This window comes from Homo sapiens, chromosome 10, assembly GCF_000001405.40.
Source record: "Homo sapiens chromosome 10, GRCh38.p14 Primary Assembly".
Classification (NCBI taxonomy): Eukaryota; Metazoa; Chordata; class Mammalia; order Primates; family Hominidae; genus Homo; species Homo sapiens.
The window spans coordinates 77063160-77081527 of record NC_000010.11 but is presented as its reverse complement, the minus strand read 5'-3'; the positions used below and the strand labels follow the sequence as shown (position 1 = coordinate 77081527).

The 18368-nt window shown below is 43.9% G+C and overlaps 1 protein-coding gene across 56 annotated transcripts in view; it reads left to right on the top strand.

Moving 5' to 3' along the window:
• Nucleotides 1–18368, top strand: part of KCNMA1 (potassium calcium-activated channel subfamily M alpha 1) — a 768207-nt gene that overhangs the window by 556281 nt on the left and 193558 nt on the right. For all 56 annotated transcript variants that reach the window (NM_001271518.2, XM_017016222.3, XM_024447990.2 and 53 more), the window contains 2 exons: nucleotides 1978–2047; nucleotides 8276–8431. In NM_001271518.2, the coding sequence (NP_001258447.1) occupies nucleotides 1978–2047; nucleotides 8276–8431 (226 nt within the window). The remainder of the gene's footprint in view (nucleotides 1–1977; nucleotides 2048–8275; nucleotides 8432–18368) is intronic.

Sequence of the window (18368 nt, the reverse complement as noted above, 5' to 3'; positions counted from 1 at the left end):
GCGCTGCTGGGTGGGAAGTTTGTGGGGGTGGTCATAATAAATGCACTTGCATTTCTGATTAGGCTTAGGAGGTGGGCCTTTCTGTGGAATTCCATTCTTTAGCCTTCCTTGTCACAGAAGGAAATGTACAATGTCACTTCTGACAGACTTGGTAATGACAAAAACCATAACTTACACGTGGAGAGAACTTTTAATGATTTCAAAGCATTTTCACATCTGGTCTCCCATTTGCTGCTCATACCAAGCCTGTGAAGTAAATAAAGCAGGTACTGTTGCTCCCAGTGTCCAGATGAGGAAACAGGAACAGAGAGCCCAGGGTTTTCCTAAAGGTCGCGCAGTTCATTAGTACAATAGCTGTGACTGGAACCCACGTGTTTCCATTCATCTGCGCTCTGCCCCTCCCTTTAGCACCATAATTGATGTGGGGAGGACACGTGAGGCCTGGGGTGGGTGCAGGCCATGCTTAACATTGAGTTTGGACTGAGGGCAGGTAGGAGACAATTTTCCACCAGATCATGACCCCCGCAATGCCTTGGCACTTATTTTTAACCAGCGTTTAAGTCATCATTTTCTCTATTAGCTATGGAAGGCTGAGTCCTTGATCTCATCCTAAAAGCCCTGCTTAGAAATCATTTTTTGTGATAGTGGCCAAGCATGTGTCACAATTAGAACCATTTGTCATCCTGCTTGTTTGATTTGTCATTGTTGTCTCAAGTTGTTAACTTGGAGAATTGGACTCAGCAGATTGTTTCTGGGCTAGTCCCTAGGGTGTGGGAGATTGCAAACCTCTGGAGGCCCCATGATTTGGGCTCGCTTTCGATGTCTACGTAGGCAATAAGCTGGCAGCCCCTGCTCCAGGCCCCCTACTCCCCAGTACGCACATGCATACATCCCATCTCCAATGCATTCCAAGGGGCCCTCAAATTTTTCATGCCCAGGACACAGACTGTGGCTGTTTTGTGATTTTGTTTTCACACTAGCAAGAGATATGGTGGTGGGAATACTGTTTAACCTGGCCCAGTGTCTGCAACCCCTCAGGATAGCCCTGGCTGCTGGTCCTGATGCAGGATAGGTGAGCCCCAAAATGGGGCTTAGCCCATGAAGGTTTTTAGCTTCCCCCAGAAAAGAATTCAAAGGCAAGCTGATGGTAGGGCAGAAGGAAACAGCTTTATTGAAGCAGTAGTATTACAGCTCTGTGACTGCTCCTGCACAGCGGGGCTACACCATAGAGTAGCAGCTCTGGGCAGGCTGTCGTATTTATACCTACTTTTAATTGCATGCAGATTAAGGGGCAGCTTATGCAAAAATTTCTAGGGAAGGGGTAGTAACTTCTGGGTCACCGGGTCATTGCCATAGAAAGGCAAGTCCCATGAGCCCAGTGCAGATAGAAGCAAGTTCTTTGAGCTTTCTTTCTCACTGTCCACCCAGACACTTAGGCAATCATATTAAAGGGTTTCCTCTTTCATGGCCTTCTTTGTTCCTCATGGTGGCTTCCCCAAATTGTATGTAGTGAGAGATGGAACTGGGACTGGAATTCATCCATGCATTACAACTTGCTTTCAGGAAAGGACCTGGTATGTGCCTGTAAAGTTATGTCACTATGAACATATTCCAAGAGATAGTTGATTTCATAATTGGACAACGGGCTTGAAATATGAAGCATTTCAATCCCCTATGATCTAGTAATAGTAATGTTCTAGGGCCTAGAGGTTATAGGGAACCTCCTGGGTGTTGCCATGGCAATGGTAAACTGACAGGGCACACTGCTGGGCTTGTCCAGTGAAAAGTTGCTTCTGCCCCATCCCTGTTTCAGCTAGTCTTCAATTTTGTCTGGTATCTGAGCCCTGCCTCTGGAATCAAGTCCTGCCTCCTACCTCAGTCCCATGGGTACCCCATTTGGAGACAGTAAAATTGATCTTTTTGTCAGACACCATGCATAAGGCAGACCTGTCTCAGCATTGGTTCTTTCTTTTTCAGAGTAATCTCCATAAAGAACTACCATCCGAAGATAAGAATCATCACTCAAATGCTGCAGTATCACAACAAGGTAGGAGTGCGAGAGCCCGCTCCAGGTCTGAAGACCCATCCACAGGTCCAGCCTCTTCTTCCTCATTATACAGGCTCACACACACACACACACACACACACACACACACACTCTCACATGCCCACATGTGCGCAACTCAAAGACCTGGGTAAAGAGGTGTGATTGTTAAAAATCTTCCTGGGACATTTCTTTCTTTCTTTCTTTTTTTTTGGGATGGAGTCTTGCTCTTGTTGCCCAGGCTGGAGTGCAATGGCATGATCTTGACTCCCCACAACCTCCACCTCCCAAGTTCAAGCAATTCTCCTGCCTCTGCCTCTTGAGTAGCTGGGATTACAGGCATGCGCCACCATGCCAGGCTGATTTTGTACTTTTAGTAGAGATGGGGTTTCTGCATGTTGGTCAGGATGGTCTCGAACTCCCAACCTCAGGTGATCTGCCCGCCTCGGCCTCCCAAAGTGCTGGGATTACAGGCATGAGCCACCACGCCTCTGGCCCATTTCTTTAGTCCAAACAACGTGTTTGCATTTGGTCACTGGAAGGATGCTCCTTCATGTACTGATTCATTCATTCGGGAAGTGTCTATTGGAACCCGAGGTTCAGAACTATTGATTTACTCTTGGATCCCATCCATACTTAAGTTACAACAACTTTTATTTGTATGTGCTGCAGTCATTTACTTATTCAGTAAATATTTATTGAATACATACTGTGTGATTAGCACTCTCCCTGACACCCACAGGAATATCAGTGAAGGAGAAGCCCTATTTTGTGTCCTCGGGGATTTAGCAGTTAAGGTGTAGAATGCTCCAGGCAAGTGAGTGATAGGATTTCTCTATCTGAGACCAGGTGAACTAGTGAGTGCATAATGCGCTCTGTAAGAGTGTAATGTGGGACACATTCCCAGAGTCGAGATGAGAATTTGCAGAGTTGAATCAGGAAAATAGTAAGCTATCCAGAGATTAAAGAGAAAGGAATTTTCCTTGTGTTATAGCTTACAGTGGGGGATTGATTAGAAAGAAGACAAAAGTCAGAGTCTATGCTGTTTCCCTGTGATTACTTCTCAGTAAACCAGAGTCCAGTGTCTCATTCAAAGGCAGTGCTCCTTCTCTCAGCCAGTCAATAAACTTCCAAAAAAACAGCTTTAGGGGAGGGAAGGTGGCACCTTTCTCCATTTGATGCAGTACCAGTTATGTCCTTAATGAAACCTAGAAACCGGAGGCTGCCCAGTACCTGGAGCCAGGTGTCCTGTCTGTACAGAATAACTCGCTGCTGGGTTATGAGTAACAGCGTACCCCCTCTTATGGGCCATATTCCCTATGAAATAGGCAGTCAGGTGATGCAGAGAAAAACCCCATTCTGCCAAATGCACCAGTGCCATGCCGTTATTTCTTAATTGCTGGCAAGTGCTGGCCCATTTTGCTGTGTGGAGGCCCATCAGAGGCTGTCACTGAGTGGAGCCTGCTGTCAGTGACTGGCCCACCATCCAGAACGGCTGACTGCTGCCAGCCACTGCCCAGCCCTCGGCAGGTGGCTCCCTTGCAGAACGTGTTGTTCTCCAGCCAACGGATTTGGTGGTGGGCACCCAAGGTCACATTCGCCTGTTTGTCTCTGGAAAACCCAAGGACACTGAAGAGATAAAGTGAGGATATTGGTAATGTACGGGTGTCAAGCTGGAGAAGTTTTTGATGGCAGCCCTTGTAGGTGGAGGTGAATTTTATTAGCAAGGCTGTGACTAGTGACAGCTCCTGCAGCAACGAGCTCTCCTTCTTTCATTTGTGATCTGAAATTTCATTTAGTGTGGGAGTGCTTTAAGCTGTTGTTTAGATTTTTGGCTGAATTTAGATTGAATAGGAAAATTAATGTTGTATGTTTAGAAGGGGTTGTCAGTTCCTTTTTTTTCTCTTTCCAATGAGTGCTGATGCAGCATCTTCAAGAAATTAAGGAGGATTTTAGCTGTGGTTATTGTCCAACTCAAAGCAGCTCAGCCGGCCTGGGATCCAGACAGTCCCTGGTCAGTAATCACATGATCATAGCAACCTGAATGTGTTTGGCAAACCTCTGTGTTGTAATTATTCAGAAACAGTGAGGAAGATATCAACCAATTCATGATTATTTGCTTAAAACACATTTTGTTTAGAACCATCCCAAACTATTCGAGTTTTGGGGTTGGGCAGAATCACTTACAGATCCTTGGATGATTAGTCAGGACACAGGGAATAGAGTGACTTTGACACAGGGCATTTTGTTGTTGTTGTTCTTTCATATCTCTCTTCTAGAGAAAGAAGAAAACGTCCACTCATCATTGTTTGTCTTTCATTCCTTGTAGAATTGCAAATGGACATTCTTCACCTTGCTTCACAGTTTTGCTGTGTTTCCTGAGATGTTTCCTACTCTTTCAATACATTTTCTTCCTCTTCCCTTTCAACATTTTTTTTCTGCCTTTCTTGGCACTTTTTGCTGCACTCATCCTAGATGCTTAGAGATCTCCATGCATTACAATTTGCTTTCAGGAAAGGACCTGGTATGTGCCTGTAAAGTCATGTCACTATGAACATATTCCAAGAGATAGCTGATTTCATAATTGGACAACGGGCTTGAAATATGAAGCATTTCAATCCCCTATGATCCAGTAATAGTAATATTCTAGGGCCTAGAGGGATGTAGGGAAGCTGCCTACTTTCTCTCCATGTAAAACTGGCCCTGAGTTTGTCATCATCATAATTGTAGACATGTGTGTCATATTTTATGGTTTTAAAAGAGCTTTGACATCCATTATCTTCTTTAGTACTCGTTGGACCATCTGTGCATTTTAGCATCCCAGGGTAACTTCAGAGCAGGGCATCTAAGCTCTGTATAGACAGCGCAGCTCTGCTGGGCACAAATCATGGCCACCACTCTGCAGCCAGCGAGCGGGGAGACAGAAGAGCTTACTGCCACCGACTCTTTAAATGGAGCCACAGCCCATTGAACCAAACTGTGGTTCCCGAGAGTAGGCATTATAGAAGGGCTGATGCTCTCCAAAGTGTATCTTTTAATATCACTAGAATTCTTGGAGAGAAACGCTTTCATGCTGGCCATCTTTTAAATGCTGGCCCTGCATCTTCTGATTTGAGTGTAAATGGCTCAAAGCTCTTCAAGGAAAGATTGGTTTATAACTTCTTGGAAAAGTATCACTCCTGATGATTTACCTCTCAGTGGATTTTTTATTTTTCCCAAAGACTCTAGTGAAAGAGGCCTTTATCTCTGGAAGCCAAGTCCCATGAGCCCAGTGCAGATAGAGGCAAGTTCTTTGAGCTTTTTTTTTCCACTGTCCACCCTGACACTTGGGCAATTGTATTAAATCGTTTCCTCTTTCATGGCCTTCTTTGTTCCTCATAGTGGCTTCCCAAAATTGTATGTAGTGAGAGATGGAACTAGGACTGAAATCCATCTCTCCTGGTTTTCCAGGACAGCGTATTTCCAGTTCCTTCTCCATGAGAGGAGGGAGGGGTGGTGAAGTAGCAGAAATGAAGGGCAGCCAGGTCTGCCAGACCTGCTCTTTATATTCTCCAAGTTAGGGAGAGAGGATTTGCCTCCAGACTTCTGGGCACTAACACTGGCATTTTTCATCAGACTCAATTTACTTCAAATGGAAAAGGACGAAGTTTCCAGAAACAAAGGATTTATGTTCCTGGGTCAGTCTCTTCTCTTTGTTTCATGCACAGAGATTTCCCTCCAAGCATTCAGCAGGTCACCCTCACTCCTTCCCTGCGTTGGAGAAAATATAATATCCAAAAAAAGAGGGCACAGAACCCTGAGATAAGGAACAAACTCAACTTTTCTATATAATCACATGGCCAAGTGTCAAGGTGGACAGTGAGAAAGAAAGCTCAAAATATGCCTACAGAACTCAAACCAGACAGGGCCATGGGGGACCCAAGGATGAAATGCCTCAGCCTTATACCTTAGATAGCACATGCGGATAGGAGAGACTTTCTCTGAAAGGTTTTGCTTGTTTGTTTGAAGGTGCCATGAAGGTTCAGAGCTGTCTCTTTAGGGCTTGGACCAAAAAAATCTCCTTTCACACACAATGCTTGACTTGTTCATTACTTAAACTGAATTTCTCCTCATTCCTCTCAGGTTCTCAGATGATATTACTGCAAGTGAGTATTTCTCCAGTTATACCAATGTGTTCTCTACGATGCCCAGGAAGTAAAAGGGAAAGTGGCCATCTGAAGCCACTGGAGAGTAGGGAGAGGAAGGAATAAAGGGTAGGGCTAGTTGTTGGAATTGAGTCTGCAGTGTGGGGAAGGTCCTTTGATAGTTTGACAGCAATTACCACTTGCTGTGGCCCCTCCATGAGACTATTTAACCATGCTCTCATCAGGGAGGGCACTGTCATCTCTCCCTGGAGTACCCACTTTTGGCTTAGGATGCACAAGATTGTCACAGAAGCGGATTTTGCAAGAAGGAATTTCATAAGAATAGTATTTTTGAAAGCAGAGTGTGGAACCCTTGGACTTGCTCTTTGTTTTCACAATGGAGTCTTCCATCCTTCTAGTTCAACTATTGTATATTGTTCTGAAAGTGAAGGGAATGCTCCCTTGGTGCTCCTTGTGTTTGCTGAGATGTGCAGAGAAATAATAACTTCAAAGCCATAGAATCTTGGCACTAGCAGAGACTTAGAAGGGCTCTCTGATTCAACCTCCTAGTGCAGAGCAAAAGTTCTTTCCATAGTAACTTGGAGAAATACTTACTGAGTCTTAGGGACAAAGACCTTTCATTTTTTAAGGTAACCTTCTCCGTTTGGTAGACAAATTACATCCTTAGGAAGTTCATTTATAAAACAAGACAAAAATCTGCTTTCTTGGAATATATACCAGTCAGTCTTAATTCTGGCTTCTAGAACAAAGCAGGACAAACCTAATCTTGTACACAGCAGCACCTGAAGTATTCAGATGTAACCATCCTGTCTCTGTGAGGACGAGAGCCTTCTTCAGGCCAAATATTACTGGCTGTCTTAACTGTTCCTCAAAAGATCTTTTCCAGACGCTACCTCCTCTTGTCTTTGTCACTTTTCTCTGGAAGTTATTCAGTTGATCATTTTCCCTCTTTAAATCTGACTGAAAACTGGATCAAGTACTCTGGAACTAGTCTGACCAATTCACAACAGAATGAAATGTTCATTTCCCTTGATCTGGGGAGCACTTCTAAAAAGTAAACACTGGCTTTCTCTGTAATGTCACATGGCTAGCCTAAAATTTGAGGTTTTAGTTACCCACACACTTAAATTTAGCTTTGTGTGTTTTGTTTTCTTTTATTTCTCTCCTGCCTGCTGCCAAGCTAGGTCTTCTCATTTTGAATTTATATAGTTGATTTTTTTTAGCCTAAATGCTGTACTTGACATGAAAGCCTTGTAAATCTTTTTAGTTTGGTCTTTTGCCGATTTTTCCAACTCTGGAGAACCTTTTGAACTTTGATTCTTTCATCCAATGTATTTTCTATGACTCTCTGCTTCATGCCACTTAAAAATAATTGGATGAGCATGCCTCTGGGTTCTTGTCTCAGGGCCTGACATAAGGGTTGAATAGGACCAGTCCATTTGCAAGAGATTGGAAACGTCGACACTGTGATTTACCTGATGTTTTAGGCCAGTGGTTCTCAAAGTGTGGCCCCTAGATCAACAGCGTCAGCGTCACCTCCAACTTGTGAGAAATGCCAAATTCTCCAGCCTTACCCCAGATCTACTGAATCAGAAATGCTGGTGGGGGGCCAGCAATCTGTGTTTTCAGAAACTGTACAGGTGATTCTGATGCCCGCTCCTGATGCCTGGGAGTCACTGATCTGGAGTATTGGAAAGGCAGGTAAAAAAGAAACTGAAAATATACAGGCATTTGGCACTCCTACGGTCTATTAGAGGACTCAACTTAATGATTTAGCTAGACATCCTAGTAACCCAGGCTGTTGGGTCTGTCACAAGAGGAAATTCCCTCTGGGCTCTATTTGGCTAAATGACAAACCCAGGGGAGGACTTGGGCTTGGTGGGTGCAGAAGCAACAGTCCAGAGAGACTGAAGTGTGATGAGCAGAAGAGTTGCATAAAACAGCAAACATCAGACCGCAGCAAGGGAAAAGAAGGGCAAGACTGGATGGCCCTGAGTGGTTGGGCAATGCTGCATTTCCCAGAAGAAATGTTAAACAATTGAACATTTAACAGAGCAAGGTCTCATACCTGCTTTTCTTTCCCCAGGCCCATCTGCTAAACATCCCGAGCTGGAATTGGAAAGAAGGTGATGACGCAATCTGCCTCGCAGAGTTGAAGTTGGGCTTCATAGCCCAGAGCTGCCTGGCTCAAGGCCTCTCCACCATGCTTGCCAACCTCTTCTCCATGAGGTCATTCATAAAGGTAACGTCTCGTCTTATTAGAGCACATTAGCTCGGGATTCCATTTGTCGTGGGGTTGAGTAGAGAGCACAGCTTAAACTCAAAACAGATCGACGGGCTCTAACCACTTGGGTTAAGGAGAAATTCCTTGTTACGGATTTGGGCATGAAGCCAACTTCTTTCAAAATTATGTTTTTATTTTTATTTGGCACATCCACGGCCATTAAATGATTGTTCAAAGCACAATCCCCTCTTTTTTTAGATAAACCACATGTTTATCTATCAACAAAGCCTCCGCTGTTAAAACAAAAATATGATTTATATACATTCCATATGGCAACAGAGCGCCTAAAGAAAAGAATTATCATTTTGCTCTTTTATATCAAGTGGCTGGTGGACCTCTCACTGTGTGGATAAATGCAGACCATGTGTTTGTGCTGAAGCCCAAACCCCAACAGCATAATTCATTTATTTATTTCTGCACAATCAAGGAGGCCAGCAGGACTGACATGCCGCGGTTGTTTGAATGGAGAGCGAAACAATGTACTGAGTCCTCGGCAGCAGTGCCCTTTGCACCGAGAGACAGGCGGTCTGGATGTGTTCATGTCCTTGTCAGAGCTGGCTGGACAGACACTCCAGAGTCCCCAAGGTGGCCATACCTGCTGCACCAGTGCAGGCAAGGAGAGAAAAAAAACCGACTCTGTCCTCCCAGGGTGGGCCAGGTTAGGATTGTGTTTCCAGAGCCTTGCATTGATCGCCCAGCCACTAGCAAGGGGGCTTCTGGAGCCTGGGATAACAGTCACTCCAGTCCTCATCCTTAGACTGTTCTTAGATTAGGCAGTCAAGGTGACAAACCCGTGTGTAAAACGGGTCTAGCTTGAGCCTTTCTGTTATGGCATGGGAGGCAGTTAGCTCTGGATCTGGGCTTACATCTTGCCTCTTACTATGTAAGGAGCAGAATTAATAGCTGGCAAGGTGGGAAATTACATCCTTAGAAAGTTCATGAGTCAGCACGAGGTCCATAAAGGAGGCTGGAAGCTCTGCAATCAAAGGTATGAGACCTCCTGCCTTTTGCTGTCATGTGGCTACCTAATTGACTGCCAAGTTCCTTGATGGTTTTGAGGAAATGGCCTAGGTTGCAATAAGAGGGATGGGTGGGAAGCATGAGGATACAGATGCATTGGTGCTCACCTTGGGCACCTATGAGTGATATTATTTAGAGCAGGAGTTTTTCTAAGTCCTTATCCTTCGTACCTGCCAAATCGGCATTATGTAGCCAACTGATAGTTAACATTGCTCCACATAAAGGAACAAATTGCTTTGGAGCTCCTTCAATCACTTTAGCAACACTGATAGCAAGGGATACCTTGATTTAAAAAATCCTCCTATGCTCATTATGCAGCCAAAGGTCTCAGCTCAGCAGAACTCTGAGCTCAGATCCAGCTTACAAATAAAGATGTTGCATTCCTTTAGGTATCTTCTTTAATCCAGGCTGCTCTCATCCTGCATGGGTGGAACTGAATGGAGGTGGCAGGGAGGTCTGTGTAGCTGTGTTTAGAGACGAGACCCTGAAGCCAGATGTAGCCACGTGTCTCCCAGGGATCTTATGTTCAACATGAAAAGCCCAGACTCAGGATAAAGGACTGTCACCACGAGAACTTCTCTGGCTCTTTCAATCAAGCTCTGGTGGTTTTCTTCCAGGGCATGGCCCATGGGACCAAGCACATGGTGTGTGGAGCTGTGCTCTGCTTCCTCGTGTTGATGTAACATGGGCTTTGGCAGGGCCCCACCACAGATGGGGCCCCTTGACATGCGTATGTTTTGATTTTGTGGTGCCTGCATGGTAACTAGAGCTGTCTGTCAAGGAAATTAATAAAATGGATGTGATGCTGATTCTTCAGTGCTATTAGCAGCAGGGAAAACCTCTGCCCAACCTTCCTCCAGACCCTGATGGGCCTCACCTCTAAAGCCAAGGATGTCCGCTCCAGCTCAGCTAATCCCATTGCCAAGTTCCTATTTAGGAAGAGCTTGTGGGAAAGGCTGGGCCTGGCCCTGGTGTAACTGAAAACACATTTTCCTCTGGGGGTTATGTTACCACATTATTTCTGTATAAGGCCAATTCCCGCCTGTTTGGAAGTAGCTCTCTGAATATGACCTTTTGACACTGAGATGGTCTTTGTGTTGGAATTGGCTAAGGTACATGACCTGGAAATCACAAGCCTTCCCCTCATATATTTTTCTCAGCTAAAATAGAGATGCCTTATTCACATGCTCCCCATTCTACATTGCTATCTTTGTGTACTTACCTCCAAATCCCAGATCTTCGTCTCCTTTAGGTCATGGTGAACACCATAATGGCACCCTCCTTGGCATGTTTTATGTATTATCTCCCATTCCAGGGATCACAAAGCCCTCACTTACTTTTGTTGGGGGTGGGGGGTAGGTGGAAAAGTAAACCTACAAATGGATTATTGTTTACAGAAATTGCTTCCTTCTCCAATGACCTCCGTATCCTATGACGGAGAATTCATCAATATTTCCATGGGGACAAGCAGGCCTATTAGGATGGACAAAGAAGGGGTGAGGCTTTGGCAGCACTTGATCCTTTGGGAACAATTAGCATTTCTGGAAGCCAAGGTAAAGTGTTAGCTCACCCTCTCCCTTCCCCTAGGCCGGTCGTGTCTGTTTTTTGGTGCGGCAGAACCCCTGTTAAAATAAGAGAAACAAGACTGTAACAGCAAAGATGTGGCACAGGCAGAAGCACAGTGACTATCCACTGGGCTTTTTAATTTTATTTTAATTTTTTGTAGAGACCAGTCTCCCTGTGTTGTCTAGGTTGGTCTCAAACTCCTGGGTTCAAGCAATCCTCCTGCCTCAGCCTCCCAAAGTGCTGGGATTATATAGGTGTGAGCCACTTCCACTGGGCATTTTATCATGCATGAGACCAAAATGCCAAGACTGAAAGTGGGGGTGATATGTTTAATAAAAGAAAGAGGGATTACTGGCCAGGTGTGTTGGCCCACACCTGTAATATAAGCACTTTGGGAGGCCAAGGCAGGTGGATCACCTGAGGTCAGGAGTTCGAGACCAGCCTGGCCAACATGGTGAAATCCCTTTTCTACTAAAAATACAAAAATTAGCTGGGCCTGGTGGCGCATGCCTGTAGTCCCAGCTACTCAAGAAGCTGAAGCCGGGGAATTGCTTGAACCCAGGAGGCGGAGGTCGCAGTGAGCCAAGATCATGCCATTGCACTCCAGCCTGGGCAACAGAGAAAGAAGACCCCGTCTCCAAAAAAGAAAGAAAAAGAAAGAGGGACTACTGGCATACAGGAATTACAAAAGAGGCCCAGCCTGGAGGTACCAAGAAATATGGAGCAATGCTTCTTTATCTCTCCATCAATGCCACTCTCAAAGATACCAACCTTAGGACCCTAAGTCTTTGTCCCTGAAAACCTCACTCCTATGTGGATATATCTCTGAATTGATCTAAACTTTTTAGGAATCTTTTTTATATTTTATATACCCCCATATCTTTGGGGGTAATGAATTTCTTAACTTTGCTAACTACTGCTAAATATTTTTTTTCTGGCTATTTGTCCTTAATTTACTCCATTTAAACTTCAAGGCATGCCCTCTACAGCTTCTGCAGTGCTAGGATTTAACAAATCTTATGCTAATTTTATATCTAATACCTTTAGGAAAGAGACTCAAGCTGGCAATCCAGGGATCCTCCAGCTCAGCAGCTGCTGTTAAGGACAGGTTAAGCATTTTGTGCAATAGGATCTTATTTGAACCCTTGAGTTCCTTTAAGGAGTTCGCACGAACATCCTGGTGCCTGTGACTTATCTGCATTCACATCATCAGCCAGCCCTGGAACATGCTGTTCATTTGCCACTGTCTGATCTCCTACTCCTAGCCTGTCAGGTTCTAGTGAGACTCTCCCTGCTGTCTTCTGTAAAGACCCAGGCAATGAACTTACTTAGCCTATCTGCTATTGCCTCAGCCCTGAATAAGTGGCCACACTTACTCTCTACTTGGCTTCCTCACTTGGATGTAATTTAAGATCCATTGATTTGTTTTTGTTTTTGTTTTTGAGTCTTACTATGCATACTTAGCTTCTCTTCAGCGTATGAGGTTTCAAGTTGGGGCATGGCCTGCCATCTTCATGAATTGTGCTATCATTCTTACTAGGATTAGCTGTCTTTGCACATGACAAATTGTGTGTGTGTGTGTGTGTGTGTGTGTGTGTGTGTGTGTGTGTGTGTGTTTAGAGGGTGATTAACTCTTAAAATTGTTTTTCAATGTACATTGGGACTTCCAATGTAGCACATTTAAATAGTTCTCAGAATTGCCAACTATTTGAAGTCTGTTAATCTATCATTTTATACACACACACACACACACACACACACACACACACAAAACCTGGAACACAGTATGCTCTCCATGATTATTTCTTTGTTGAATAAATCAGTTTTGAGAATGAAGAAAATATGTTATGTATTTCTAGTGTTGTTTTTTTTTCCCTATGCCGCAAGATTTGGAATTTGCGGGTGAAATGTTACTTAATATCGATAACAATACACGCTTCTCTGTCATGTTTTCTGTTTCTGAATGAGAATGCACTAGAGAAATCAGAAGCATGCTATTCAGATTGTATCTTGGCTGAAGTGGATATGGCTGGACACACAAAGTTTTTGTCCTAGCACTAACCATAGCCAAGGGAATCATTTAAATATTTTTAGTCTGGGTTATGTTTATGTGTATATGTGTGCTTGTACATATGTATGTATAGAATTAGTCTGGTTTAGCAGCTAAAAATGTAAATCAAGGACTTTTAATAATAGCTAAAAAATACTGATTCCCATGTGCTAAATCCCGTATTAAGTGCTTTAGCTGCAATATCACATTTAATTCTCACAATGACCATACCCAAACTTGTCACTATTATTATCCTCCTTTTACAGTGGCAGGCACTATGGGTTAAGAGAATTTCAACAACCTGCATGCGGATGTGTGATTTGGAATTCACAAACTCAGGTGTTCAAACCCAAGCAAACTGGTTCCAGGTTTGCCCTTGAGTATACTGAAAGGAAATGTGAGAAACGATAAGGGAAAACTTTAGCTAGTGCCATCATCTTAGCACAAATCTTAGCTTTCTATAGTTCATTCTATGTGAACTATTGATGCAATAGAGATGCCCTGGGGACCTACCATGTTCCAGACAGTGCGCTAATCCCATCAGCATCCTTAGGTCTAGGAAGCTCTGGTAAGCTTCAGAAAGCTTCTGTTCTGACTTGGATGTATGGGCACATGTTTGCATAGCTCCATTCTGTGCATCTTCTTTACCTTTCTGTCTGCCCAGCTCTGCAAAAGCAGAGGCCACTGCATCATAACAGTTACCCTAGGCTGGGCTGAGTCAGGGTAAGGAATGAACTAGGCTCCCAAGAAGGGATTGACACACACTGCTGTTTTGAGGAGGTGAAACTAATTGGAGTCTAAACCAAGTGGAGCTGAAGGGCTGGGGATGACTTAGGTAGGTGCTTCTGGGACAAAGTAAGTATATTAGGGTTCTCTACAGAAACAGAGCAATGGTGTCTCTGTGTGTGTGTGTGCACACACATGCGTGAGAGAGAGAGAGAGAGATGTTGATTATAAAGAATTGGCCCACAGGGTTATAGTGGCTGGGAAATCCCAAGCTCTATAAACTGGAGACCCAGGAAAGAAGATGGTATAGTCTCTGTCTGAGTCTGAAAATCTGAGAACCAGCAAAGTCAATGGTATAAGTCTAGATCTGAAGGCAGGAGGAGACTGATGTCCCAGCTTAAGACTGACCATCAGGCAGAGGGAGGAAATTCTCCCTTACTCCTCCTTTTTATTCTATTCAGGCCTTCAGTGGGTTAGATGAAGCCCACCCACATGGGTTGGGTTGAGGGTTGTTGGGGGAGCAATCTGCTTTACTCACTCCACAAATTCAAATGTTAATCTCATGCAGAAACACCCTCCACCCTCAAAGACACACCCAGAATAATGTTTAGCCAAATATCTGGGTACACTGTGACCCAGTCAAGTTAACATTAATCATCACAGCAAGCAATTCTTATTGTCTGGTGGGTGTAAGCTCTGCTAACCAGGTTGAAGGAGGCATACCAGAAGCAGAACTCAACCTTGCGTGGCAGGGTTGGAGTTGACAAGAGCTCTGAAATGGGGCCAGGGCTGCAACTGATAAGGCTGGGATTGAGGTGGCTCTCTACTTAGGAAAGAACAACTAGTGGTACCAGAGTAGAGAGTTTGTCTGGCAAAGTAAACCCACATGGTGGAAATTAGATAGGGAGATGCAAGATGTTGCTTACTCTATTACCCATGGACAATGTCACCCTAACCACAGATGGCATTATGACAGCAGACTTCTGCACATATTCCTCACCAGTGGAGAGCAGCTCCCAATACAATTATACTCACTTCCTTGATAATCTCAATTATTCTCATTGCTTTTAGATACATAGATGACTTCCATATTTATATTTCCATGAAGAACCTCTCCCCTGAACCCGGCGTCACCGATTCAACTGCTGCTCAACACCTACATTTGAATACCCCATCTCCTCTCAGACTTACCATTCCACAATCGAATTCCTTTTCTTTGTCCACAAACCTGTTCTTTGCTCATTTTACTATTGGCAATGCCATCCTTCCCATGGCTGAAACTAAAAACTCTGGAGTCACCCTTGACTCATTTTTAAAAATTTATTTATTTGCCCTCAAACACCACATTCAATACAGCAGGAAATCCTCTTGGTTCAAGTTTCAAAATATTCCCAGAATCGGAGCACTTCTCACCACCTGCACTCCTACTACTAGCTCCAAACCACCATCATGTCTCTCCTAGAATATTACACCAGCCTCCTAACTGGTCTGTCTGCTCTGCCCTTACCACCCCACCTCCAATCTATCTTCAACAAAGCATCCAGAACAACCTTCTCAAGCATGAATCAGATCCTGTCACTCTTCTGCATAAGTCTCTCCATGGGGTCCCATCTCATCTGAATAAAGTCCCTACAATGGCCTGCAGGTCCTAAGCAGTCAGGTCCCTGGAACCTCATTGGCTTAAGTCCTGAGTGTTCTCCTGCTTCTTATGTTAGCCACACTCCCTTGGGCTGGTCTAGGGATTTTTACTTCTTGTTCCCTCTGGCTGGATATTCCTTCCCTGAGCAGCTGCTTGGCTCCCCTCTGTCCAACTCTTGTTGTCTTTGCTTAATATTAATTTCTCAGTTGAGTCTTTCCTCTAAGGCATTAGAACTGCATTTTTAAAAGGGATTAAAAATGAATTTTTTATTGAAATATAATAAAAGTGTGCATGTAATAAATGTACAACCTGTTAAATACTTATACCCTCAGTGCTCATGTAACCAGGACCTAGATTAACAAAGAGTACATTACAAATATCCCAGAACCCCCTGTTTTTTTTTAAATAAGTCAGGTGATACTACATGATCGGGTCTGTTTCTGGATTCTCTTGGGAGAATTGACATCTCCACAATACTGAGTTCTCCAATCTATGAATATGGTATATTTCTTATAAAGGGATACTTTATGATTCAACAACTTCCCTGGCAAATACAGGAAAATCAGGAAGAAAGTAACTAAGCTCATACAAGTTCTCTGGGGCTTGTGAGGGTCTCTAGAGAGAGTAGATGTCCCACTTCATATTCTCTAGGAAGTATACAGCTGTTCTTCTCAGCTTCATTGGGGGATGAAGTTTCCATGTGGAAAAAACAGAATTGCATTTTAGGAATCTGCACCCCCTCCCCCTCCACACACCATACATCCACATCCTTATTTACTCTCTTGGCTTTGTTTTTTCCCGTGGCACTCTTTGGTGTTTATTGCCTCTTTTCCCTGGGACAAGGTGAGCACTGTGAAGATGGGGCTACTTGCTGAATCCTCAGTGCCTAGAACAGCGCCTGACTCATAATAGCTACTCAATACGTGTTTGTGGAGTAAATGAATGCATCGGTTGGCCTCAGCCTAGCCTGACCAGCCTGTATTACAGACAGCTGGGTGGGACCAGGACCAGCGGGGACTTGTAATTTGGTGTGATTTTGGTGCAGAAAACTTCTTTCTTTGCTACTGTATATGATTCCCTTGCCAAATTAAAGAGCTTTGATTCAATGTAGAAACATGAAATGCAAAGCTCTTTAATCCTTGACAAGGATTGTGCAGAGGCTGGTTAGATTTGGTTATAAAGCTCTTCAACTGCCAGAAAATCCAGTCAGTGTGTTGTTTAAGTTCACAAATCAAAATAAACACCCATGAATTGAAATGAATTTGCTAAACCCCAGTATCCTATTTGGGTCAACGTCACTGTGTACCCGCTTTTCACCCTACTTAGATCCCATTAGATCAGAGGCTTCCATGCAGGATGCTGCCTCCCGCAGTGCCACTCAGTCTGACCAAGCCCACTAATGCCCACCTGAAAGTAGAGTAACTTCTGTGAAAACTATTTCTAATAAAGAGAGAAGTAATCCATGAGCTATTAACAGGGATTCATTTCCCCTATGGCCCTGGTAATTTCTAGAACATTGAATTAAAGCGTTCTCAGACCTTTACAAATTCTCAAGGCAAACATTATTAGCAAAAAGAAGCCCATACAGCATGTTAGAAGATAGATTGCCAGAAAATGTCAACGGATCTTCTGAATAAAATAAAAGAAGTTGAAACTCCTTTCCCCATCTTCTTCCCTTCTCCCTCCTTCCCCCAACATGATTAGAAAGTCATTTCATGTGTCTTATATGTTTGGTGAATCAAAAGCAAATGTACATGATTGATGGTGACAGGGAACACATTTAACTCATTATTCTTTACTTTGCAGCAAAATGATTTGTGTAAACTGTCTGCCTAGCATTAAAGGTAAAGCAAACTTAGAAACCCCAAAATGTTATATTTTCATCTAATATTTTCCTCTTGGTTTTATAGCTGTAATCACATATGGATTCTTTTATATGGGTCTTGGCATGGACTGAACAAAGAGAAAGGCAGCACAGAAAGATTACATAACATATACACAGAGTCCGGTGCCCAGCGAGGATGGGGCCCGAGAAGCGGCAATGGTCAGGACTTAATGCGAAAATCCAGTAGAAGCTGACACTCACCCTGGCCCTTCTCGGCTGGCAGGATATAGTCACTGATGTGAAATAAGAGCCATCTTATTGAACAAGCCTCTGGCCAAGCATCAGTCTGAGCTCTTTCAGAGATAATTGGCCTTTAATTAATTGCATGCATTCCTGAGTCCACCTGGGTATCCACAGACTGGGTCTACTCTGCCTCCCCACTCTTCCAAATTTTTGACTTTGGTTTTTTGAGTGCCATCCACTGTTAGTGATTGTTACATGAAAATCGCAAAGTCCTATGTAAGCCATAAGGAATAAAATATCAGATTTCCTTAAGTCTATTGGTTGTCGTTGCCCTAAGGTGATTTTAAGTGTGAATCTGTGTCCAGAACAATGATGAGGAATTTGGAACTTTGAGGCAACTATTCTACACATCTAGGGGTGCAAAACAAGGAAGCACCATTGATTTGATACCGTGGGTATTCTGTTAAGAACTTTGGAATTATAGTAATACTTTACGTTTGCACAGCACTTTTCAGTTTACGTGATATACCTTTTTTTTTTGAGACGGAGATTTCGCTGTCTCACCCAGGCTGGAGTGCGGTGGTGCAGTCTCGGCTCACTGCAACCTCCGCCCACCTCTCCCCCAGCAACCCAGCCGCTGCAGCCCCCAGGTTCAAGTGATTCTGCTGCCTCAGTCTCCCAAGTAGCTGGGACTGCAGGCACGAGCCACCACACCCGGCTAATTTTTGTATTTTTAGTAGAGACGGGGTTTCACCATGTTGCCCAGGCTGGTCTCAAACTCCTGACCTCAAGTGATGTGCCCACCTCAGCCTCCCAAAGTGCTGGG